The 25,972-nt window shown below is 44.0% G+C and overlaps 1 protein-coding gene and 1 long non-coding RNA gene across 3 annotated transcripts in view, besides 4 other annotated features; both read right to left on the bottom strand.

Annotated features, from left to right (window-relative positions):
- FAF2 (Fas associated factor family member 2) overlaps positions 1–19,758 on the bottom strand; it is a 61,690-nt gene extending 41,932 nt beyond the window's left edge. For both annotated transcript variants that reach the window (NM_014613.3, XM_011534475.4), the window contains exon 1: positions 19,673–19,758. In NM_014613.3, coding sequence (NP_055428.1) covers positions 19,673–19,735 — 63 coding nt within the window. In that variant the 5' untranslated portion in view covers positions 19,736–19,758. The remainder of the gene's footprint in view (positions 1–19,672) is intronic.
- On the bottom strand, positions 13,146–15,828 carry LOC124901142 (uncharacterized). The gene is made up of 2 exons (XR_007059070.1): positions 14,915–15,828; positions 13,146–14,825 (listed from the first exon to the last, which is right to left on the bottom strand). It is a non-coding gene; the product is annotated as an uncharacterized LOC124901142 (long non-coding RNA).
- Positions 19,678–19,737: an enhancer, noted in NCBI's record as "active region_23686". NCBI's record gives its function as "activates an Ori minimal core promoter by ATAC-STARR-seq in GM12878 lymphoblastoid cells {active_cell/tissue: GM12878}" and the evidence as "EXISTENCE:reporter gene assay evidence [ECO:0000049][PMID:35858748]".
- Positions 19,818–19,867: a silencer, noted in NCBI's record as "silent region_16653". NCBI's record gives its function as "represses an Ori minimal core promoter by ATAC-STARR-seq in GM12878 lymphoblastoid cells {active_cell/tissue: GM12878}" and the evidence as "EXISTENCE:reporter gene assay evidence [ECO:0000049][PMID:35858748]".
- Positions 20,048–20,107: an enhancer, noted in NCBI's record as "active region_23685". NCBI's record gives its function as "activates an Ori minimal core promoter by ATAC-STARR-seq in GM12878 lymphoblastoid cells {active_cell/tissue: GM12878}" and the evidence as "EXISTENCE:reporter gene assay evidence [ECO:0000049][PMID:35858748]".
- Positions 20,188–20,377: an enhancer, noted in NCBI's record as "active region_23684". NCBI's record gives its function as "activates an Ori minimal core promoter by ATAC-STARR-seq in GM12878 lymphoblastoid cells {active_cell/tissue: GM12878}" and the evidence as "EXISTENCE:reporter gene assay evidence [ECO:0000049][PMID:35858748]".

Below are 25,972 nucleotides of genomic sequence, written 5' to 3'. Positions count from 1 at the left end.
TCCAGGCTGGAGTGTAGTGGCAAGATTTCAGCTCACCACAATCTCCGCTTCCAGGGTTCAAGTGATTCTCCTGCCTCAGCCTCTCAAGTAGCTGGGATTGTAAGTGCCCACCAACACACCCGATTAATTTTTGTATTTTTAATAGAGACAGGGTTTCACCATGTTGGCCAGGCTAGTCTTGAACTCCTGACCTCAGGTGATCTGCCACCCTCAGCCTCCCAAAGTGCTGGGATGACAGGTGTGAGCCACCACACCCAGCCTTCTAGTTTCTTAAACACTGATCTTCTCATTATTACACATTTATTCCTACTCTGTGTCAGGAACTAACATAGCTAATCTTCACATTTTCCTCAACAATCCTGTAAGACAGATATTGCTATCTTGCCCATTATCAATTGAGAATACTGAATCTTTGAAAAGAATTATGTCAAAGTATCCCATACCAATTTGGGTATACAGTAAGTGCTTAATAAAGGTCAGCTAAAACTGGCATGCTCTTTAGAACTCTGGTTTACATTAAGATCTACTGACATCTGGCTGGGCGTGGTGGCTCACGCCCATAATCCCAGAACTTTGGGAGGCCAGGAATTTGAGACCAGCCTGGCCAACATGGCAAAACCCGGTTCTGTATAAATACAAAAAAGTTAGCCAGGTGTGGTTGTGCATGCCTGTAATCTCTAGCTACTCGGGTGGCTGAGGCACAAGAATCGCTTAAACTTGGGAGATGAAGGTTGCAGTGAGCTGAGATGGCACCACTGCACTCTAGGCTGGGCAAAAAGGGCGACACTGACTCAAAAAAAAACCAAAAAAAACCAAAAAAAGTCTACTGACATCTAAGGTGGCTTGAGATAGCATTGTACAAATTAGCTGCAATGGATACAAAGGTTAACTATGGCACCCCCTTCTCTCTCTAATCTTTCAGGGCCGAGTGTCTAATGTCATCAATTGCTACCATAAATCCCCCACTGGTCTGGGACAGACAAGTGACCAAAAAAAAAAAAAAAAAAAAAAAAGGAAAAAAAAAACAGCCATTGGGCAGGCCCATCCCAGTCTGTCTTACTGAGAAAAATCCCTTGCTCCGTGATCCTTTCCCTCCTTCCTCCTCCCTTCAGAGATGACTCCCCTTCCATAAACTGACTTCCCAAGGATTTTGGAGAGCACTGCATTTAATTACAGAAGTTAAAAATGTAATTGCCTGATAGTATCAGTGGGAGAAAGGCATTATTTACTTTTGGGGCATCTTACTAGAGACTGAACCCCAATCAATCTCTAGTAAAATGCACAGGGGAGACTGGGGAAGTGTGTGAACTATTCTATACTACTTTCCTACTTCAGCTTTGGTCAAACATCTTGTAAAATGTATACGGGAGATTGCAGAAGTGTGTGAACTACTTTCCTACTGCAGCTTTGGTCAAACTTCCTCCTCTCCCAAGTCAGAAGACAAGAAGGTGTCAGTCACTTGCAGACTAGCTTTCGAAATACTGTGATCCCGATCTATCTCTTGCTAAAGCATGACTCAAAGAAGGTATCACAAACAATAATAGATGGTGTGTAGTATTTTAACCAGATGGCTCAAACAGCTATTTGGATAGGGATTGGGTAACCAGGGTGTAATCTCCTCATTTTCCTAAGTGGAGTTTATCTTTCCATATCTCATCTGTTTATACTAACAAACGCTGCACGGGGTTGGTGTGAAATCTCAGCTGAGATTTAAGTACTCTCTAAATTCCAATTGGCTTGTTGGTTTTAGCTTGCTAAGAATGCATATTTTAGGTCTTGTTTTCAGTTATTCCCAGAGAGAAACTTGGCAAAAACTAGGAATCTTTGTTCTCTCCTTCCGACCACACAGACAGCTTTGCTTTGCTTTATGTAATAGGCAGTATGCCTTCTCTGATAGTAGCAGGAGAAATGAAATCTGAAATCTGTTCAGGAAATTAAGTGATCATGGCTAGGCTCTGATCTAAAGTAATTTAAACTCTTACACACACTCAGATCTTTATTATTCACATTTAATTACTGATACTCCAAATTAAGTACCAGCAGCTCCCATTTACTAAACATCTATTACCGTGTAATAAAACAGATACTGTAAGTATTGAAACCCTTATTTTCATCACTGAGAAAGCCAAAGATTCAAAAAGTTACACGCCTTGTCTAGGAATATCTAGATAATGGTAAATGGTGGAGTGAAGACTGAAATCTAGATTAATTACTTCCAAAGTCCAGATTCTCTCTCATGCCAAAATGCCTCCCATTATTACTTGAAATCGTTTTCTTTTCTTTTTTGAGATGAAGTCTTGCTCTGTTGCCCAGGCTGGAGTGCAGTGGCACGATCTCGGTTCACTGCAATCCCTGCCTCCTGGGTTCAAGTGATTCTCCTGCCTCAGCCTCCCAGGTACCCATTACAGGCATGAGCCACTGTGCCCAGCTAAAATAGCTTTCAGTAAATCCTTAATTCAGAAAATTTCAATTTCTGGGCTGGGCATGGTGGCTCATAACTGTAACTTCAGCACTTTGGGAGGCCAAGGAGGGCAGATCACCTGAGGTCAGGAGTTTGAGACCAGCCTGGCCAACATGGTGAAACCCTGTCTCTACTAAAATACAAAAATTAGGCAGGCATGGTGGCAGGTGCCTGCAATCTCAGCTACTCAAGAGGTTGAAGCAGGAGAATTGCTTGAATCCAGGAGGTGGAGGCTGCAGTGAGCCAAGATTGTGTCATTGCACTCCAGCCTGGATGACAAGGGCCAAACTCCAACTCAAAAAAAAAAAAAAAAAAGAAAGAAAAAGAAAATTTCAGTTTCTTTATTGTATATACTAGTAGCTGAATATCAGCCCACAGACGTATATAAAACTGTTCTCCTTTAGGCACAAGATCAACAAACATGTTGATACAGTTTTTCTCTATGGACAAAGGGTTTGGGGTCAAATAAGACTAGAAAATGGTACATATCTGGCCAGGCTCTGTGGCTCACGCCTGTAATCCCAGCACTTTGGGAGGCTGAAGCGGCCAGATCACTTGAGGTCTGAAGTTCAAGACCAGCCTGGCCAACATGGTGAAACCCTGTCTCTACTAAAAATACAAAAATTAGCTGGGCGTGGTAGTGGCGCATGCCTATAATCCCAGGTATTCAGGAGGCTGAGGCAAGAGAATCACTTGAGCCTGGAAGGCGGAGGTTGCAGTGAGCTGAGATCATACCACTGCACTCTAGCCGGGGCGATACAGCGAGACTCTGTCTCAAAAAAAAAGAAAGTGCCTATCAAATACCTCTTTTCAAATACCCCTTTTAGAAATCTGCAATATAATCTTGTAAAGGCTTTGAAAGGTTCTGCTTCTAGAAAAAAAGAAAATTTAACCTCACAACTTCACATAAGGGAAGGTCTTTAAAAAAAAAAAAAACTAATATCCCTTGAAGAATTTTCACTTAGAATCAGTTTGGCAGCCTGGCAACACAGTGAGACCCATCTCTACAGAAAATAAAAACATTAGCCGGGCATGGTGGTACATGCATGTAGTCCCAGCCACTTGGGAGGCTGATGTGGGAGGGTCACTTGAGTCCGGGAGGTCGAGGCTACAGTGAGCTATGGTTGTGCCACTGTACTCCAGCCCAGGTGACAGAGCAAGACCCTGTCTCAAAAAAAAAAAAAAAAAAAAAAAGAATCAGCTTGGAAACACCAGAAATGGAACCAAATGGTCTGTGCAAATCAAGATATAACCATATCTTAATCTTAAATAATAGATTCTCAAATATTTGATAACTGATTAGACCCAAATGGCATTACACAAGTGTGGATGTTTACTGTATAAATATTCGAATATACATAAATACCACATGAATAAACATTTCCAAAAAAACCCCCCACAATATTCTTTATCCAAGCAATTAAAATAGGTGGGGGCTGGGTGTGGCAGCTCACACCTGTAATCCCAACACTTTGGGAGGCCAAGGCAGGAGGCCTTAAGGCCTTAAGGACAGCCTGGGAAACACGGTGAGACCCTGTCTCTACAAAAAAAAGAAACAAAAAAAAGAATAAGTGGAAGAAGTGGCTGAGCTTTGTTGGAAAGTTAGAGACACAAGCAATTTTAATTTGTGTAGCAGCAATAGAAAAATTTAAGGCCCGGCACAGTGGCTCACGCCTGTAATCTCAGCACTATGGGAGGCTGAGGCAGGCAGATCACTTGAGGTCAGGAGTTCGAGACCAGCCTGGCCAACATGGTGAAACCCCGTCTCTACTAAAACTACAAAAATTAGCCAGGTGTGGTGGTGAGCACCTGTAATCCTAGCTACACAGGAGGCTGAGGCAGAAGAATCACTCAAACCCGGGAGGCGGAGGTTGCAGTGAGCCAAGATCACGCCACTGCACTCCAGCCTGGGAAACACAGCAAGACTCTGTCTCAAGGAAAAAAAAAAAAAAAAAAACATGCAATAACCCTTTATTCTAATTCTACCACGCACTAGCTTCGTAACCTCAGGCATCTTTCTTAGGTTTAGCTTCCTCACTGGTAAAATGTAAATAAAAATAGTGCTTAGTTCCTTGGGTTGTGCAGATTAAAACAGGTTAGCTAATATTACTATTGAGAAACATGAGGTCTTCCAGAATCTGAGTCAGGAAAAAAAAGAAACATGAAGGACACATTAAGGAGACATTTGTAAAGCACTGTGAGATGAGTCTGAACTAGCTTAAAAGGTTCTGAAGTAATACAATTAGATTTTGGGGGAACCAAATAAATTATCTTTCATTAATTCCTTTTTTTTTTTTGAGATGGAGTCTCACTCTGTTGCCCAGGCTGGAGTGCAGTGATACCTCTTGACTCACTGCAACCTCTGCCTCCCGGGCCAAGCGATTCTCCTGTTTCACCCTCCCGATTACAGGAGTCTGCCACCATGCCTGGCTAATTTTTTTTGTATTCTTAGTAGAGACGGGGTTTTGCTATGTTGGCCAGGCAGGTCTCAAATTCCTGACCTCAGGTGATCCACCCGCCTCAGCCTCCCAAAAGTGCTGGGATTACAGGCATGAGCCACCAGGCCTGGCCCCTATTAATTCCTATTCTAGTATTGATTCTTTCACTTAACAGACTTAATTCCACTAAAACAAACACAAACAATAAGTATGTTGGCTATATTCAACCTTTCCTAAATGTGACTTTACCGCTCAGATTCAAGCAGAAACGTTGTTTCAAGAGAAATGAAGGTATTTCTGTTATCCTCTTTGTGAAAAACACTATAGCGAAGCAAACTTTATTGGTCCTCCAAAAATAATCTAATAATTTGACCTTGTCTGTTCCCTGCCCATCCCTCACCCCTTCTAGGCTGACAAATTCTGCCATTATGTTTCAAAATAGCTTGAAATCACACCCCTAGAATTTCACATGCATAAGATGTGTATATATTAGCAAAATTTAATGTCAAGTCACAAAATGTTAAAAATTTATCACTTTTCAATCTTAAAACTTGACATGAGAGGATGCTCTAGGATTTAGATTCAACTATTTATTAAACATCTATTTTATTTTATTTTTTTGAGACGGAGTCTTGCTCTGTCGTTAGGCTGGAGTGCAGTGGCGCGATCTCGGCTCACTGCAACCTCCGCCTCCCGGGTTCGAGTGATTCTCCTGCCTCAGCCTCCCAAGCAGCTGGGACTACAGACATGCGCCACCACGCCCGGCTAATTTTGGTATTTTTAGTAGAGATGGGGTTTCACCATGTTGGCCAGGATGGTCTCGATCTCTTGACCTCATGATCTGCCTGCCTTGGCCTCCCAAAGTGCTGAGATTACAGGCATGAGCCACTGTGCAGTCTATTAAATATCAATTAACCAAGCACTATAGTATGTGTTTTCTGATCCACTCTTTTTTCTTGTTTTGTTTGGAGACAGAATCTCACTCTGCCACCCAGGCTGGAGTGCAATGTTGCGATCTCGGCTCATTGCAACCTCTGTCTCTTGGGTTCAAGCAATTCTCCCGCCTCAGCCTCTCAAGTAGCTGGGACTACAGGCGCTTGCCACCACGCCTGGCTGATTTTGTATTTTTAGTAGAGATGGGGTTTCACCACATTGGCCAGGCTGGTCTCGAATTCCTGACCTCGGGTGATCCTCCCACCTCAGTCTCATAAAGTGTTGGGACTACAGGTGTGAGACACTGCACCTAGCTTTTCTGATGCTTACTTCTAACACCCCTGTAAAGTTTAAAAATATTAATCATTAAATGTAAGACCTAAAACTATAAAAATCCTACAAGAAAACCTAGTAGTATCATTCTGGACATTGGTCTTGGCAAAGAATTTATGACTAAGTCCCCAAAAACATTTGCAACAAAAACAAAAATTGGAAAGTGGGACCTAATTAAACTGAAGAGCTTCTACACAGTAAAAGAAACTATCAACAGAGTAAACAGACAAAATGGGAGAAAATCTTCGCAAACTATGAATCTGACAAAGGCCTAATATCCAGAATATATGAGAAACAATTCAACAAGCAAATAATAATAATAATAACCCCATTAAAAAAAAACTGGCAAAAGCCAGGCCGAGTGGCTCATACCAGTAACCCCATCACTAGGGGAGGCCAAGGTGGGAGGATGACTTGAAATCAGAAGTTCAAGACCAGGCTGGGCAACACAGCAAGACCCTATCTCTAAAAAAAAAAAATAAAATAAAAAAAATTAGCCCAGTGTGGTGGTGTACACCTGTAGTCCCAGCTCCTCTGGAGGCTGAAGTGGTAGGATCACTTGAGCTGGGACTCTGAGGCCACAGTGAACTATCATCACATTACTATACTTTAGCTTGAGAGATAGAGCAAGAACCTGTCTCAAAAAAAAAAAAAAAAAAAAAAAAGCTGGGCACAGTGGCTCACACCTGTAATCTCAGCACCTTGGGAGGCCGAGGTGGGTGGACTGCTTGAGGTCAGGAGTTCGAGACCAGCCTGGACAACACAGTGAAACCCTGTCTCTACTAAAAATACAAAAATTAGCTGGGCATGTTAGTATGCGCCTGTAATCCCAGCTACTCAGGAAGCTGAGGCAAGAGACATCGCTTGAACCTGGCAGGCAGAGGTTGCAGTGAGCCAAGATGGCACTACTGCACTCCAGCCTAGGCGACAGAGTAAAACATTGTCTGAAAAAAAAAAAAGAGAAGAAAAAAAGGGGAGGTGGGTGCAAAAGTACATGAACAGACACTTCTTTCTTTTTTTGAGTCAAAGGGTCTTACTCTGTCACCCAGGTTGGAGTGCAGTGGCACCATCTTGCTTGGCTCATTGCAACCTCCATCTCCCAGGTTCAAGTGATCCTCCCACCTCAGCCTCCCAAGTAGCTGGGACCACAGGCCTACACCGCCATGCCTGGTGAATCTTTTGGATTTTTGGTACAGTTGGGGTCTTGCAATGTTGCCCAGGCTGGTCTCAAACTCCTAAGCTCAAGTGATCCACTGCCTCAGCCTCCCAAAGTGCTGGGATTACAGGCGTGAGCCATCACACCCGCCTCAGACACTTCTCAAAAGACATTTACAGGGCCAGGAGGCAGAGGCTGCAGTGAGCTGAGATCATGCCACTACACTCTAGCCCAGGCAACAAAGTGAGACCCTCAGGAAAAAAAAAATACACACACACACACACACACACACACACACACACACACACGCGGCCAAAAATAGTCAACATCACTGCTCATTAGAGAAATGCAAATCAAAATCACAATGAGTTACCATTTTGTACCAGTCAGAATGGCTATTACTAAAAAGTCAAAAAATAACTAGATATTGGCAAGGCCACAGAGAAAAACGAATGCTTATATAACACTGGTGGGAATGTAAGTTAGTTTAGCCACTGTGGAAAGCAGTCTGGGGATTTCTCAAAGAACTTAAGAAAAAAACCAGAACTATCAATTGACCCAACAATCCCATTAATGGGTATACACCCAAAGGAAAATAACTCGTTCTACCAAAAAGACACACACTCATATGTTGATCACAGCATTATTCATGATAGCAAAGACATGGAATCAACCTAGATGCCCATCAACAGTGATCTGAATAAAGAAAATGTGGTACATATACACTATAGAATACCACGCACTCATAAAAAAGAACAAAATCACATCCTTTGCAGCAACATGGATGTAGCCGGAGGCCGTCATCCTAAGCAAATTAATGCAGAACCAAAAAACCAAATACCACATTCTTACTTGTAAGTAGGAGCTAAACACTGAGTACACATGGACACAAAGATGAGAACAATAGACACTGAGGACTACTAGATGGGGTAGAGTGGGAGGGGGGCAAGTGTTGAAAAATTAAACTAACTGTTGGATACTATGCTTACAATCTGGGCTATGGGATCATTCATACAACAAATCCCAGCAACAAATAATTTACTCATGTATCAAACCCACACATGTACCCCCTCATCTAAAATGAAAGTTGAAAGAAAAAACAAAACAAAACAACCACACCCACACCCACACAAATATCTATGTCATTTTGCAGATACAGAAACTGAGGCCTGGAAGGATTAAGTAACTGTCAGAGATCTCAAATTGCCAAGTTCCTAATACAGACCTCCTTCCCCTACATTGCTGCAAAGATGAGAATATGGTTAACTTTCAATGCTCAAAAAACAAACAAACAAAAAAGAAGCTGAGGCAGGCAGATCGCTTGAGCCCAGGAGTTTGAGACCAGCCTGGACAACATAATGAGACCATGTCTCTACAAAAAATAAAAATAAAAAAATTAGCTGGGTGTGGTGGCGTGGGCCTGTAGTTCGAGCTACTTGGGAGGCTGAGGTGGGAGGAGTGCCTGAGCCCAGGAGGTTGGAGCTGCAGTGAACCATGAATGAGCCACTGCACTCCAGCCTGGGCAACAGAGTGAGACCCTATCTCAAAAAGAAAAAAAAAAAAAAAAAAAAGGTTAACTGGAATTTTGGCTTTCTTCTTTCTTCTAAAAATAGGATACTTAATGCTGTTGGAATTGCTTTAACAAAGAGAAAGAGAAAAAAAAGAATCCAACAAAAAACTCTTTGGGATTGAGATTTCTGGTGAATTAGTCATTGAGCAAATATTAATTGAGCATCTATCATGCAGCAAGCACAAAGAAATCAGTTTGAACCCCCCAAAACTCTGTGGAGTTAAAAGACATGTAAATTATTTTATTATTATGACAATTACTACACACCAGTAAACAAATCCTTAAGTCCTTCAAGGAACTTATCAAGAAAGAAATCAAGGTTCTGAGCTGAAAACTAGTGGAAGGAGAAATTTCAGGACAAGGGAAGAGCAAGGGAGGCATGAGAAGGAATAACATGTTAGGGAAATTAAAAAGTATCACTGGAATAGAAATAGAAAGGGTAAAAATGTAAGGTTTGACAGTGAAGTCAGACCATGAGGTACAAAGAAAAATTTTATGCTGCTCTAATCAATACCACTCCAATTATTTTTGTTAGAAATACTGTTCTGGGCCAGGCACAGTGGCTCATGCCTGTAATCCCAGCACTTTGGAAGGCTGAGGTGGGCAGATCACGAGGTCAGGAGTTTGACACCAGCCTGGCCAACATGGTGAAACCCCATCTCTACTTAAAAAATACAAAAATTAGCTGGGTGTGGTGGCACGCGCCTGTAATCCCAGCTACTCGGGAAGCTGAGGCAGGACAATCGCTTGAACTTGGGAGGTTGCAGTGAGCCGAGATCGAGCCACCGCACTCCAGCGTGGGTGAGAGAGTGAGACTCCGTCTCAAAAAAAAAAAAAAAAAAAGGAAGAAAAAGAAAAATATTATTCTGAGGCCAGACGTGGTGGCTCATGCCTGTAATCCCAGTACTTTGTAAGGCCAAGGCAGGTGGATCACTTAAGGCCAGGAGTTCAATACCAGCCTGGCCAACATGGCGAAACCCCATCTCTACTAAAAATACAAAAATTAGCTGGGCGTGGTGGCACGTGCCTGTGGTCCCAGCTACGCAAGAAGGGGAGCTGGAAAGATGGCTTGAGTCCAGCAGGCGGAGGCTGCAGTGAGCCAAGACTGTACAATTGCACTCCAGCCTGGGCGACAGATACTCTGTCAAGGAAGAGAAGAGAAGGGAGAAGAGGAGTGAAAAGAGAAGAGAAAGAGAATAGAAATATTATTCTGGAAAAAGTAGGAAGGCTGAATTGAGAAGACTTTAAATGTGGGCTACCAGTTATACAAGTTTAGTCCAGAGGAGAAATGAAGTATAAACTGAGGCAGTGGCAATGCATATGACAAGAGGGTTAACTAAGGACTGTGACTTTTTGTGACTTTAACTCCAATAAGAATTTACAAACACACATTTAAAAATATTCCCCAGTATTTAGTATGAAAAATTGTTCTCTTTCAAATTTATTCCAGGACTGTGAGAAAGTTTTCATAATTTCCTTGGTGGAAAAGTCCAAGGCCCACACACAGGCCCCCCAAGTGTTCACGGTGATTTCTGCTATTCATCACTTCTGGCACTCTCACTAACAGTAGTATTAAACACACACACACACACACACACCCCTGAAAACAGTTCAAATCAAATAATCAGTTTTATGACTATTTCATTTTTGATACTAATTTTAAGCAAAAATACAATGTTGGAGAAACGACAACTAGAATCCTTGAATATGTGAAATAATCCTCAGATGGTCCAAAATAAAAATGACAAAATTAACGTTTATGGCCGGGCACAGTGGCTCACGCCTGTAATCACAGCACTTTGGGAGGCTGTGGCAGGTGGATCACCTGAGGTCAAGAGTTCGAGACCAGCCTGCCCAACATGGTGAAACCTTGTCTCTACTAAAAATACAAAAAAATAAGCCAGAAGTGGTGGTGGGCGCCTATAATCCCAGCAACTCTGGAAGCTGAGGCAGAAGAATCACTTGAACCTGGGAGACAAAGGTTGTAGTGAGCCAAGGTTGAGCCATTGCACTCCAGCCTGGGGACAACAGCGAAACTCCGTCTCAAAAAAACAAAACAAAAAATACTAATCTTTATCAATACCCATCTCAAAGACCTACTTCTAAAAGACTATCTGCTGTAAAGGTAATCTGTTACTCAGAGTAATCAGAATGTATACTACTTTGCAAGGTTCAGAAATATTCCTCTTAAATACTTAGAGGAGTTCATAAATATCGATGCCCAGCCCACTCTGAAAAAATAACGCATTTTGAACCAACTTGATAATAAGTGTCTGTACTTGTCAAATAAAGAAGTACCCCAAAAAAGGGAGGCCAGCAAACACTACTGAGTAAGTATGTCAAAACCTTTCCAAGATATAACTATGTTCTTGAACAGATTCAGCAACATAAAGATGTCAACTACAACCCCTGAAGTTCATTTACAAATTTCATAAAATTTCAACTTTAAAAAGTTGATTTCAAATTTCTTTTAGAGGAGCAAATAAACAGGAAAACTCTGAAAAAGAGCAACAGAGTGGAGGCAGGGGTGTTCCTCCAGATCAAAATATATCATAAGCCTCTATAATTAAGTGTTATATTGGCATATATAGGGGAAGACCAGTGGAACAGAAATTCCAGTTGAGGCTGGGTGCAGTGGCTCACACCCGTAATTCCAGCACTTTGGGAGGCCAAGGGGTGGACTGCTTGAGCTCAGGAGAGTTCCTGTTTCATTGCTGTTTTAATTTGCAATTCCTTAAGGACCTCAAATCCTTAAAGATTTGAGCATCTTTTCATATGCTTACATGCCATCTGTATATCTTTTTTGGTGAGTTGTCTGTTCTGATCTTTTCCCTACCTTTTGATTGAGTTGTTCATTTTAAGTTTTAAAAATATATTTTGGGCCGGGCACGGTGGCTCACGCCTGTAATCCCAGCACTTTGAGAGGCCGAGGTAGGCGGATCACCTCAGGTCAGGAATTCAAGACCAGCCTGGCCAGCATGGCAAAACCCCATCTCTACTAAAAATACAAAAATTAGCCGGGTGTGGTGGCACACACCTGTAATCCCAGCTACTCGGGAGGCTGAGGCAGGAGAATTGCTTGAACCCAGGAGGTGGAGGTTGCAGTGAGCTGAGATCACACCACTGCACTGCAGCCTGGGCAACAAGAGCAAAACTCTGTCTCAATCAAACAAACCCAGTCAGTCTTCATGACTACTTACCTATGCTATGCAGAGTTAAGTATAATATAATCATATCTCTATAAGACAAAGACAGAAGTTCTCTTACCCAATGAGAATGAGACCCATAACTAATCAATTAACTGAAGTCAAAGTAATAAAAATATTCATTTTAACATTTTACATGTTTTCATTTTTACATAAATGAATATTTATGTAAATATTTCATTTTAACATAAAGTACTCACATGAACATAAGTTTCTGATAAAAGCCTATCGTTTTCTTTAGGGAATGAATCCACTAGCACTCCTTGGAACTTCTTTAGTTTTTATTTTTAGTTTTTTGAGAGGGAGTCTCACTCTGTCACCCAGGCTGGAGTGCACTAGTGCGACCTTGGCTCACTGCAACCTCTGCCTCCCAGGTTCAAGCAATTCTCCTGCCTCAGCCTCCTGAGTAGCTAGGATTACAGGCACCCGCCACCAAATCTGGCTAATTTTTGTATTTTAGTAGAGATGGGGTTTCACCATGTTGGCCAGGCTGGTCTCAAACTCCTGGCCTCAGGTGATCTGCCCACCTCAGCCTCCCAAAGTGCTGGGATTACAGGCGTGCACCACTGTGCCTGGCTATTTTTTACTTTTTTTTTTGAGACAGGGTCTCACTCTGTCACCCAGGCTGGAGTGCAGTGGTGCAATCACAGCCCACTGCAGCCTTCACCTCCTAGGCTAAGGTGATGCTCCCACCTCAGTCTCCCAAGTAGCTGGGATCACAGGCCCACAGGCATGCGCCACTACGACCAGCTAATTTTTTTGTTGTAGTTTTAGTAGAGATGAGGTTTCACCATGTTGCCCAGGCTGGGATCTTTTTAGCATAACCCATACTGATTTGATTTCCTTAAGTGTAGTGCAACCTTAAACACTTGCCAAGCAGTAAGTGTACAATGTTGTATCTCAATGATTTCTCCCTAAGTCATTTACAGTTAACTTGCCCACACCTAACTAAACAACAATTTTTTTTTTTAGCAATTTCCCCAGACAGAGCCTGTTTAAAGCTTTTAATTTAGTTTTCGTATCGATGAAAACTCTTTTTGCACTGGTATTTTACAGGTTTATGTAGTGTTTAATTAAACACATGTGACAAACATAACCAGCACACACTAGTTTGGGAGCAAATATAACTGCCTCTTGTCAGGAATACAACTTGACTGGTGAGACACTTGAGTGCATTACAGAGTAGAGTTTGCAGAAATGCTTGAACATATTACAGAATAGAGTTTAGGAAAAGGAGGATATCTGCTCCAATTAATCAGTCAAGTGAAGGTTAAGGTTAAGAGAGCTTCCACATTAAGCTGTGTATGCAGAAGACAAAAATACACAAAGATAAACAACAAACCTGGAATTAGAATGGGGAAATAAAATAAGATTTGATTACTTTTTAAAATACAATTGTATGTTGCTAACTTCCAACAAGCATGTATTATTAGATTTTTTTTTTTTTTTTTTTTTTTTTTTTTTTTTTCAGACAGAATCTGGCTCTGTTGCCCAGGTTAGAGTGCAGTGGCACGATCTTGGCTCACTGGTACCTCCACCTCCTGAGTTCAAGTGATTCCCATGCCTCAGCCTCCTGAGTAGCTGGGATTACAGGCCTGTGCCACCACACTGGGCTAACTTTTTTTGTATTTTTATTTTTATTTATTTATTTTGAGACGGAGTCGCACTCTGTTGCCCAGGCTTGGAGTGCAGTGGCACGATCTCGGCTCACTGCAACCTCCGCCTCCAGAATTCAAGTGATTCTCCTGCCTTACCCTCCCGAGTAGCTGGGATTACAGGTGCATGCCACTATGTCTGGCTAATTTTTATATTTTCAGTAGATACGGGGTTTCACCATGTTTGTCAGGCTGGTCTCGAACTCCTGGCCTCAAGTGATCTGCCTGCCTCGGCCTCCCAAAGTGCTGAGATTATGGCACCCAGCCTACTAGATTTTTTAAAGTAAAAAATAAAAAGAATGTTGTGAACTAGATAATAGTATCTCCAATTTTTTTTTTTTTAGAGTCTCGCTCTTGCCCAGGCTGGAGTGCAGTGGTGCGGTCTCGGATCACTGCAACCTTCGCCTCCTGGGTTCAAGCAATTCTCCTGCCTTAGCCTTCCGAGTAGCTGGGATTATGGGCACCTGACACGACGCCCAGCTAATTTTTTTGTATTTTTAGTAGAGACGGGGTTTCACCATGTTGTCTAGGCTGGTCTTGAACTCCTGACCTCGTGATCTGCCAGCCTCGGCCTCCCAAAGTGCTTGGATTACAGGTGTGAGCCACTGCGCCCGGCCAGTATCTCCATTTTATAGAAAATGAAAGAGGTTCAAAGAAGTGAGAACCTGTTCAAGATCACAGAACTCACCATAAGCTGTTGAAAAGTTAAGTCATGTTTGCCTGGATTTTCAAAGCTCTTGTTTTCTCAACAGTGCCAAATTCTCTGGCAAAAAACCCTCAAATGGACCACTGTATGTTCTGTTTTAAATACATGAACAAAAAGCACCATGTGTTTTTTTTTCCTTTAGGTAATATAGTCAGGTGAAGCCAAAAGAAAGATTTTCAAAATGACTTATAAATTTGATTCTACAGCCCAGCGTTCAGGCTATCATTTAAAAGGATGAGGGTCATAAATTTCTTCCTCCTGTGCAAGCAGAAAAGGGATCATTTCTTCCTCTGCTGGCCTGCATAACTCCTTTAATTCCCCCTTCTCTCTGTCCATGTCATCCTTCTCCAGTTGTTCAAACAGCAACCTAGAGGCAGTAAACCAAGACACTAGGAGAGTCTGCTATATTTGGAAATTTGGGAAAATGAACGCCAATAAAAGTAACCTTCCACATACCTGCATTAGCTCTCCTTAAAACCTATGTCCTTATTCTTTCCCATCTGAAATAGCTGAAAACAATTGTCTGCAATAGTTATTCATATTCAACTGGTTCCAAAATAAACAGAAGTGGAGAACTGTAGAAAAATCCTGGAAGATATCAAATGGGCTGAGAAACATGATATGAAATAAAATGCCTTGGGGAGTTCTAACCAAATAACATCATAAAAAAATTGAAATACAGGAAACCTGAGATTTCCAAAATATTTTACTTTTACTGATTTCAATATACCAAATGAAGAAACATATTGAGAACCAACTCCTAGCAGTGTCATCCTGTTCTGTACTGACCCCTGTGGAGATTCCAAACACATACTCCATACTGCTAATGAAGCAAACCTGAAACCTAGTGTCACTCCCTAGTTGAAAAATCCTTTGATGGCTCCCCTCATCTACAGATTAAAGTTTAAACATTGTGAACAGCTTTGAAAGGCCTCCAAAATCTGGCTTTAATTTACCTTTCTAGTCTTATTGTCCACTTTCAATACTCTTCAGTTCATCACCACAGACACTTCACTTTCCCATCTCCCTACCTTGTGCAAGCTATTTCTTTAGCTTTGAATATTCTGCCCAACACATGTTGAAACTCTATTCCTCTTCCAAAGTAGCAAGGTATATTAGTAAGAACTCAGCCATCAAGTCCAGATCTAGACCCACTAGAATTCCACTACCTAGTAGCTTAATCACCTTGAGTAAATACATCAATAGATCTGCTTCATTATGCATACCACCTATGGTACTTTGTAAACTGCTGTAAGGATTAAACATAATAGTTATACATTAACACCATGCCTAAGGCATAGTAGATACTTAATAAATGTTACCTGCTGGCCAGGTCCGGTGGCTCACGCCTGTAATCCGAGCACTTTGGGAGGCCGAGGCAGGTGGATCACCTGAGGTCAGGAGTTCGAGACCAGCCTGGCCAACACGGGGAAACCTTGTCTGTACTAAAAATACAAAAATTAGCCAGGCATGGTGGCAGGCACTTGTAATCCCAGCTACTCAGGAGGCTGAGGCAAGAGAATAGCTTAAACCTGGGAGGCAGAGGCTGCAGTGAGCCGAGATCGCACCACTGCACCCCAGCCAGGGCAACAGAGCAAGCCTCCGTCTCAAAAACAAACAGACAAAAATTAGCCAGGCACTTCTAGTCCTAGCCACTTAGGAGGCTGAGGTGGGAGGATCACTTGAGCCCAGGAGTTTGAGGTTGCAATGAACTATGATCACGCCACTGCACTTCAGCCTGGGCAACAGAGATATGTTGTCTCAAAAAAAAAAAAAAAAAAAAAAAAAAAAATATATATATATATATATGTGTGTATATATATATGTGTATATATATGTGTGTATATATATATATGTATATATATATATGTGTGTATATATATATGTATATATATATACACACACACACGTATATATATGTATATATACAATATACATATATACACATATATATATATCTATATATATCGCATACCCATTATTCATGTGTGTACTTGACTTCTCCATTAAGTTACACAGAAGATGGTTGTGGATATAAATTTCTAAATCTCTACCACTTACTACTTGTGAAAGCTATTTGACCTCTCAGAACCTGTTTCTTCATTATTAAAATGAACAAGATTAACCCTTTACACTGTTATATTAAAAGGTTTAAAAGAGTTAAGGGGCCAGGTGTGGTGGCTCACATCTGTAATCTCAACACTGAGGCAACTCATCTCAACACTGTAATCTCAACCTCTGAGGCAGCAGTTTGAGAGCAGCCTGGACAACATAGCAAGACTCCCGTCTCTACTTAAAAAAAAATTTTTTTTTTGAGACAGAGTCCCGCTCTGTTGCCCAGGCTGGAGTGCAGTGGCACGATCTTGGCTCACTGCAACCTCCACCTCCCGGGTTCAAGTGAGCCTCCTGCCTCAGCCCCCCTAGTAGCTGGGATTACAGGCACATGCCACCATGCCTGGCTAATTTTTGTATTTTTAGTAGAGACGAGGTTTTGCCATGTTGGCCAGGCTGGTCTCGAACTCCTGATCTCAGGTGATCCACCTGCCTCGGCCTCCCAAAGTGCTGGGATTACAAGCATGAGCCACCACACATGGTCTAAAATATTTTTCTTAAAAAAAGAGTTAATGTACATCAACTGCTGCTTGGTATAATGCTTGGCATCTAATAAGTTTCAACAACTGTTTGTTTAATGGCAGTCTGGATAATGAATCTGATCCAGCGATTGCTTATAGAATAGAAAAATGAAAGATGCATTTCCCTCAATAAATCCAATTTCATAAGGCAATCTTAATACAGCTCGAACCTGCTACCCACCTCTCTTCTAATAAAGATCTCCACAGTTTTGGCCGGGCGCGGCGGCTCACGCCTGTAATCCCAGCCGAGGAGGGCGGATCACGAGGTCAAGAAATCGAGACCATCCTGGCCAACATCGTGAAACCCCGTCTCTACTAAAAATACAAAAAATTCGCTGGATGTGGTGGCGCGTGCCTGTAGTCCCAGCTACTCGAGAGGCTGAGGCAGGAGAATCGCTTGAAACTGGAAGGCGGAGGTTGCAGTGAGCCGAGATCGCGCCACTGCACTCCAGCCTGGGCAACAAGAGCGAAACTCCGTCTCAAAAAAAAAAAAAAGATCTCCACAGAAGATAAAATGGAGGTTCCTATGCACTTTACTTCAGAAATGCTATCATAGATTTATATTCATGCTCTTCCAGTATGAGACTAAATATACCATAATTTATAACTCACATTACTTCATTGCACTTAAACCACATGTTAGCTTACCCCTGAAGAGTTCTAAGGGGTAAAATGGTCTGCCAAAGTTAAACAACACTCTGAAATTGGTGGTCTACCTGGAAGTGTAAGCTGGTTGTCTGTTTAACTCATTCTCTAATAATAATTTGCTGGGTCATCAATTCAATTTCTCTACCAAAAATTCCAATCAAATGTCAATTACATCTATGACAGCATTTTTCCATTTATACACTTCCAACACACTGCTCAATTTAAGAGGGGAAAAAATAACCACTTCAAAATTTATTATAGTGAAGTCTATTCAAGGAAATTGCAAAAAAGTGAGAACTCGCCAAAAAAATATTTATTTTCTCAGCATTTGCATTCCACACTCAACTGTACACTGAAATATAAGTTGCACAAGACAGAAGTCAGAAGCCTGGGAAGGGTTCTGGAAGATGGACATAGCTTTAAATCTGACACCATCATTTTCTAGCTGTGTAACCTAAGCATTTTATTTCTTAGTCCTGATACCCTTCATCTGTAAATCAGGGACTAGAACAGTATGAACCTCATAGGGTTGCTGTATTAAATGAGGTTATGTATGCTAAGTGTTTACAAAGTACTTACATCTGAAATAGTAAGTGGGATTCTACCTAGCAGCGCTGCGCACTAAGGTTCTTCATATAGTTGAATAAATGAATATTTACACATTTTATATAAGGAAATAAGTGTATCAATAACTTTAGGTCTATCCTAAGTCAAATTAATAGCAGAAAATACTATTTGGGGGCATTTTGCAGTCTACAAGGCCCTTCTAACATCCATATGTCCATTTGATCTCCCGAACATCCTCAGGAGGTAGATTTTTTTTTTTTTGAGACGGAGTTTCACTCTTGTTGCCCAGGCTGGAGTGCAGTGGCACGATCTCGGCTCACTGCAACCTCCGCCTCCCGGGTTCAAGCGAGTCTCCTGCCTTAGCCTCCCGAGTAGCTGGGACCACAGGCGTGCACCACCACGCCCGGCTAATATTTGTATTTTTAGTAGAGACGGGGTTTCACCATATTGGCCAGAGTGGTCTCGAACTCCTGACCTCGTGATTCGCTGGCCTTGGCCTCCCAAAGTGCTGGGATTACAGGCGTGAGCCACCGCTCCTGGCCTGGGGGTAGACATTTTTAAGACAGTCCTTTCAGAGATAAGGAAACTGGTAACAAAGTGCCAAGGTTACCCACCCTAGTGGTATCCTCCAACCATTCTCCAGCTCAGGGGTAAGTGATCAGTGGCAAATGTTCTTAATACAACATCTTGTATTAACATAACATTTCTGCAAGTTACCACCCTCCTCAAGCATAGTTAAGCACAGGAATCCAGGAATAAGCCAAAAGTAATAAATCCCGACAGACCACTGATGACACTTATCATCTTGCATTGTTTCCTCACTTGGTGTCCTCCCACACCTCTAGGGCGGGGACCAGATCTGTGTGTAGGTGCCCCCTCCCCGACCGGAACCCCCAACACGAAACCTGGTATCCAAGAGGCCCCAGTTTGTGGGAGTGTATGTGGAAATGGCATGGGATGCTGGCAGGAGGTTTTCCTGTCAGAGACCCGAAATGACGCCAACTCCGCGGTGGGGACTAAGCTTCTCCGGCAGATATAGACTCGTTGGGCGGAGAGGGTCCGACCGATAACCGGGCTGGGAAGGATGGCTGAGGACTGACGCCGCTAAGGCAAACCAGGGAAGCTGACACGCTGAGGGCACAGAGGCACAGACGAGGCGGGTCTGCCCGCAGCGATGGCTGGAAGGCTAGGGTCCAACAGAGGCTTGGGGGCCGGGGGAATCAGGGCAGTTGGAGTCTGGGGGGGAGGGGGCCGGCCTGCTGGTCTGAGAAGGATCTGAACCCAATCTGAGGAGGGTTCTGAACTCCTCTAGGGGCCTACTCCCCATCCCACGGAGGCATCTGCTGCACCGAGTACTCGCTGCTACCTGAAACTGCAGCAGCTTCTCTGTCTGCTCCTGGGTTAGATCCCGCTCCTCAGGCGCCGCCATTTTGCCGCCGCCTCTACGCTCCTGACCCGTCCGCACCGTCACCCGCCGGAACTGACCTCAGCCACAACCACATCCGGTCTGAACGGCCGCCGGCGCGCAACTGCGTCTGCGCGCGCTGGCCCACTAACCTCCCCCCGCCCCCCGCCACCTCTGGCCGCCGCCAGAGGGCGCCACGCTCGGGCCTATCCCGAACACTTCCGGAAATTGCCGAGGGACTGTCGGTACAAGTCGCTCTTACCATTTAGGCGACGAAAGGATCTGCTAAGATTAGGCGACGAAAGGAGACCTAAGATTCCAGTGCAGTCTTGCAGAGCCGAGAGGGCCCGAATGTGCCTCGAGAAGCTCCGGAGCATCCCGAATGGCATTCGGCTGATTTCGGCTGCTCTCTAACCATTTTCCGGCAACCTCAGATACTCTTGGAGGTTTCTCGGGAGACGCAGCCGTTCCGAAATACCAGCCTTTTGGTCGCTGGCCCCTGACCTAAAGTTTCCAAAAGCTCCTGACCATCTCTCGGGAGGTTCCGAAGGGCTCTGGATACTGGCGCGGCATTTCCGACGCCGCCTTCGAAGCGGAAGCTGTGGGCAGACTTCGGCCACCGTTCCATTGCCGCTTCGGGGTCACTTGCAGGAAGATCTGGACTCGGCTCCCCGGATCCTCGACCATTCATGGCGCCCCCAGTCGTCCGCACAGCTTGCCGTCCACCGCCGTGACTGCGGCGCTGGAACCCCGGCCCGGCATCTGCTTTTCCGTGCCTGGAGCCTTGTCTCTCCGCACTAGCGCTGCACTGGCCCCTTGTCTCTGTGACAGGCGAAGAAAGATCCCTGGACCGGGATTAGGAGACGCGGGTTCTAGTTGCCACCTTGCCAACTGCTGGACATCCTTGGGCAAACCACTTGGGCTCCATTTTGCCATTTGTTGAATGAGATTCCCCAAAAGCCCCTGACGTGCTGCCGCCGCCCCTTCTCCTCGAGGCAGTCCCCTGCCCTTCCCTTCTGCTGCTTACACTACCCTATCACCACCCCTCAATCTCTATCTTCCTCTGCACGTCCCTTGCCCCTTCTAGTCCGCCACCTCTCTTTAGATTTCCCGTTTTCATTTCCACCTCTCCCGCCGAACGCCTCCTCTGCCCACCTTCCAGAGAGGCCTGGGTCTGGTACACGCTTTTCCACTGACCACCTGTGTGATTCTCAGCAAGGCTCTCGGCCGCCTGCGCCCCACCCTCGTCCCCTTGCAGGGTTGATCCGGTGAGACAGAAAAGGCTTTGAGAGCTGGTTCTGTGAAGAGTACATGAAATTTTGGCTACTTCTTTCAGGACTTATCAGGTCTTACCAGGTCTGCACAAACCACGACGTCCTGGAAAAACAGCACATGGTACGCCCTAAAACACAACCCCCAAAAAGTGCTAATTGGAAAAACAAAACAAAACAAAACAAAAACCCTGCAAATTTGGATCTGCATATGAAATCTTTCCGTTTAAAAATGGTGTCGGCCGGGCTCTGTGGCTCACGCCTGTAATCCCAGCGCTTTGGGTGGCCGAGGCGGGCGGATCACTTGAGGTCAGGAGTTCGAAACTGGCCTGGCCAACATGGCGAAACCCTGTCTCTACTAAAAATACAAAAATTAGCCAGGGTTGGTGGCGCACGCCTGTAGTCCTAGCTACTCGGGAGGCTGAGGCAGGAGAATCGCTTGAATCTGGGAGGCGGAGGTTGCAGTGAACTGAGATTGCCCCACTGTACTCCAGCCTGGGCGACGGAGTGAGACTCCGTCTCAAAAATAAATAAATAAATAAATAATATGTCAATTAAGTAAAAACCCCCGAAGGTAAAATCGGAAGCAGATAGCTGCTACTCTATAGAGAATTTATTACAGCAGCTCAAAGCTCAAAGGAAACTCAGTGTTGTTCAATCTCACCAATAACGTTGGGTTCAGATAAACTAAATGAGGGTTGGCAAAGTCAGATGTCCTCAGGAATTGTGTAATTCTCACTTAAGATATATACTTGCCAGCAGGCATGGTGGCAAATGCCTGTAGTCCCAGCTACTCGGGAGGCTGAGGTGAGAGGACCACTTGAGGCCATGAGTTCAAGGCTGTTGTATGCTGTGATCACACCACTGCATTCCAGCCTGGGTAACATATTCTTTCAACAGACCTAATTTGTAGTTATATGAAACACCATTGAATATTTCTTCACTTCCTCAAAGAAAGTTACACTTTCTTTTTCTATCTTTCTGTTTTCTTCTTTCTTTCTTTCTTTTCTTTGAGACGGAGTCTTGCTCTATCGCCCAGGCTGTAGTGCAGTGGCCTGATCTTGGCTCACTGCAAGCTCTGCCTCCTGGGTTCATGCCATTCTCCTGCCTCAGCCTCCTGAGTAGCTGAGGCTTACAGGTGCCTGCCACCATGCCCGGCTAATTTTTTTTTTGTATTTTTAGTAGAGATGGGGTATCACCGTCTTAGCCAGGATGGTCTACGATCTCCTGACCTCGGGATCCGCCCGCCTCGGCCTCCCAAAGTGCTGGGATTACAGACGTGAGCCATCGCACCTGGCCCTGTTTTCTTCTTTCAATAAAGATTAGGTTACAAGAAATAATTCATTTGTTTAAAACTCTACTTTAATGTGTCTCCGTGTGGGGACAAAATATGAAAAGCCGGAGTGTCCATTCCCTGTCCAAAGGTGGTTTTTGGCCAGACGCGGTGGTTCATGCCTGTAATCCCAGCATTCTGGGAGGCCAAGGTGGGAGGATTGTTTGAGCCTAGGAGTTGGGGACCAGCCTAGGCAATATAGTGAGACTGCCTCTACCAATTTTTTTTTTTTTTTTTAATTAGCCAAGTGTGGGCCGGGCACGGTGGCTCACACCTGTAATCCTAGCACTTTGGGAGGCTGAGGCGGGCAGATCTTGAGGTCAGGAGATCAAGACCATTCTGGCTAACACAGTGAAACCCTGTCCCTACTAAAAATAAAAAAAAATTAGCCAGGCATGGTGGCAGATGCCTGTAGTCCCAGGCCGAGGCAGGAGAATCGCTTGAACCTGGGAAGCAGAGGTTGCGGTGAGCCGAGATCGTGCCACTGCACTCCAGCCTGGGCAACAGAGCGAGACTCTGTCTCAAAAAAAAAAAAAAAGTTAGCTGAGTGTGTTAGTACGCATCTGCAGTTCTACCTAGTTAGGATGCTGAGGCAGGGATGATCACTTAAACCCGGGAGGCAGAGGTTGCAGTGAGCCATAGTCATGACTGCACTCCAGCCTGGGTAACAGAGCAAGACCCTGTCTCAAAAAAACAAACAAAAACAAAACAAAACAAAAAACAGACGGTTTCTGCCTTTTAGCTGTGGAGGATGGCTTCCATGTATTGCCGGAACTGCCCATTTTTTTTTCAGAGCACAGACATTCTCACCCCCCCAAAAAAATGTGAGGTGATGCATATGTTCATCAGCTTGATTTAGCCATTCCACAAAGTACACATATTTCAAAACATCATGTCCTACATGATACATTTTATTTGAAAAACATCACATTGTACACCTTAAAAAGTAAAATATGCTAATTTGAAAAGAAAAACTCTACACATTTGGATTTCCATGTGAAATCCCCCCATTTAAAAATGGTGTTGGCCAGGCGCGGTGGCTCATGCCTGTCATCTCAGCCCTTTGGAAGGCCGAGGTGGGTGGATCATCTGAGGTCAGGAGTTCAAGACCAGCCTGGACAACATGGTAAAACCCCGTCTCTATGAAAAATAGAAAAATTAGCCAGGGATGGTGGCCCGCACCTGTAATCCCAGCTACTTGGGAGGCTGAGGCAGGAGAATCACTTGAACCTGGGAGGCGGCGGTTGCAGTGAGTCGAGATCACGCCATTGCACTCCAGCTTGGAAGATAAGAGTGAAACTCCGTCACAAAAAGAAAAAAAGAAAAAGGTGTGAACTAATTCAATTCAAAAAAAGGTGTCAATTTCAAGAAAATTACTCTGCAAGTCAACCAGAATTGGAAGAAGCCTCATAGCCTCTGTTTGCCATGGAAGAAGCAGACCTGGGAAGAAACTCAAACTTTTTTTTGATAAGTTCAAGATGAAGAGTGTGAAAAGTGTTACCAGTTATTGGCTTGCCTTTTCTTTTTTTTATTTATATTTATATTTTATTTTATTTTATTTTATTTTTTGAGACGGAGTCTTGCTCTTGTAGCCCAGGCTGGAGTGCTGTGGTGCAATCTTGGCTCACTGCAAGCTCCGCTTCCTGGGTTCACACCATTCTCCTGCCTCAGCCTCCCAAGTAACTGGGACTACAGGCGCCCGCCACCACACCCGGCTAATTTTTTTGTATTTTTAGTAGAGACGGGGTTTCACCATATTAGCCAGGATGGTCTCCATCTCCTGACCTCGTTATCTGCCTGCCTCAGCCTCCCAAAGTGCTTGGGATTACGGGCGTGACCCACCACACCCAGCCTACTTTTTTTTTTTTTTTTTGAGACAGATTCTTGCTCTGTCACCCAGGCTGGAGTGCAGTGGCACTATCTCGGCCCACTGCAACCTCTGCCACCTAGGTTAAAGCGATTCTCCTACCTCAGCCTCCCAAGTAGCTGGGATTAAAGGCACATGCCAACAAGCCCGGCTAATTTTTGTATTTTTAAGTAGAGATGGGCTTCTCCAGGTTGGCCAGGCTGCTCTTAAACTCCTGACCTCAGGTGATCCACCCGCCTTGGCCTCCCAAAGTGCTGGTGTTATAGGCGTGAGCCACTGTGCCTGGCCTTCTTTTCTTTTTTTTTTTTTCCTCTTTTATTTTCTTTTCTCTTTTCTTTTCTTTTTTTTTTTTTGAGACAGGGCCTCCCTCTGTTGCTCAGGCCAGAGTATAGTGGCATGATCATGGCTCACCGCAGCCTCGACCTCCAGGGTGCAAGCGATCCTCTCACCTCAGCCTCCCAAGTAGCTGAGACTACAGGCACACACCACCACACCAGGCTAATTCTTTGATTTTATTATTTTATTTTATTTTACTTTATGTTCCAGGATACATGTGCAGAACGTGCAGGTTTGTTACATAGGTATATATGTGCCATGGTGGTTTGCTGCACCTATCAACCCATCCTCTAGGTTTAAGCCCCGCATGCATTAGGTATTTGTCCTAATGCTGTCCCTCCCCTTTCCCCCTACCTCCAGACAAGCCCCGTGTGTGTTTTTCCCCTCCCTGTGTTTACATGTTCTCATTGTTTAACTCCCACTTACGAGTAAGAACATGTGGTGTTTGGTTTTCTGTTCCTCTGTTAGTTTGCTGAGGATGATGGCTTCCAGCTTCATCCATGTCCCTGCAAAGGACATGATCTCATCCTTTTTTATAGCTGCATAGTATTCCATAGTGTATATGTTCCACATTTTCTTTATTCAATCATTGATGGGCATCCACGTCTTTGCTATTATAAATAGTGCTGCAATGAACATACGTGTGCATATGTCTTTATAGCAGAATGATTTATATTCCTTTGGGTATACACCCAGTAATGGGATTGCTCACAGCAGGCTAATTCTTGTACTTTTTGTAGAGATGGGGTTTCACCATGTTGCCCAGGCTGGTCTCACACTCCAGAACTCAAGCGATCTTTGTGCCTCAGCCTTTGAAGTAGCTTGGTCTAACAGGTCTGCACCACCAAACCCAGTTTATATTTTAATCCAAAGTGGATTTAAAAATTCCACCCAGGGTAAGAGGATTGCTTAAGCCCAGAAGACCAGCCTTGGCAACACAGTGAGACCTCTGTGTCTATAAAAAATAATAAGCAAAGTAAATCAGAGGCTGAGCTTGCAGTGAGCCAAGATCGCGCCACTGCACTCCAGCCTGGGCAACAGAGCGAGACTCTAAAAAAAAAAAAATCTGTTTGTAAAAAATTGCGTGATTTGTGAACTGTGAACAAGTTTAAATAACACCTGAGCTGGCAGAATGGGAAAGGGAGGAAAAGCAACAGACCTACTTACAGATGGTTTAAATAACCCATTTGCATTTAAATTGTCCCTACAATCTTAGCCTCTGCCTGGTTGGGAGGGCATGTTTCCCAGGAGACAGTGTAGTTTCCATTGAACTGCTTGCTGCGATGACCACCTGGACACTTTGGACACCTCATGCCGTAAACCTGCGAGTGGAGGAGTTGTCAGACCAGCAGGGTAATCCCCCTGTTTACAATGAGGGGCCAGGGTTGCTGTTATACACCACAGAGTCAGGAGTGTGTCTGGAGCTCAGGGGACTTACTGGGACATCTTTTGTC

Source organism: Homo sapiens, chromosome 5 (assembly GCF_000001405.40).
Source record: "Homo sapiens chromosome 5, GRCh38.p14 Primary Assembly".
NCBI lineage: Eukaryota > Metazoa > Chordata > Mammalia > Primates > Hominidae > Homo > Homo sapiens.
Note: the sequence above shows the minus strand (reverse complement) of the source record. Positions and strands in the feature narration are given on the sequence as shown.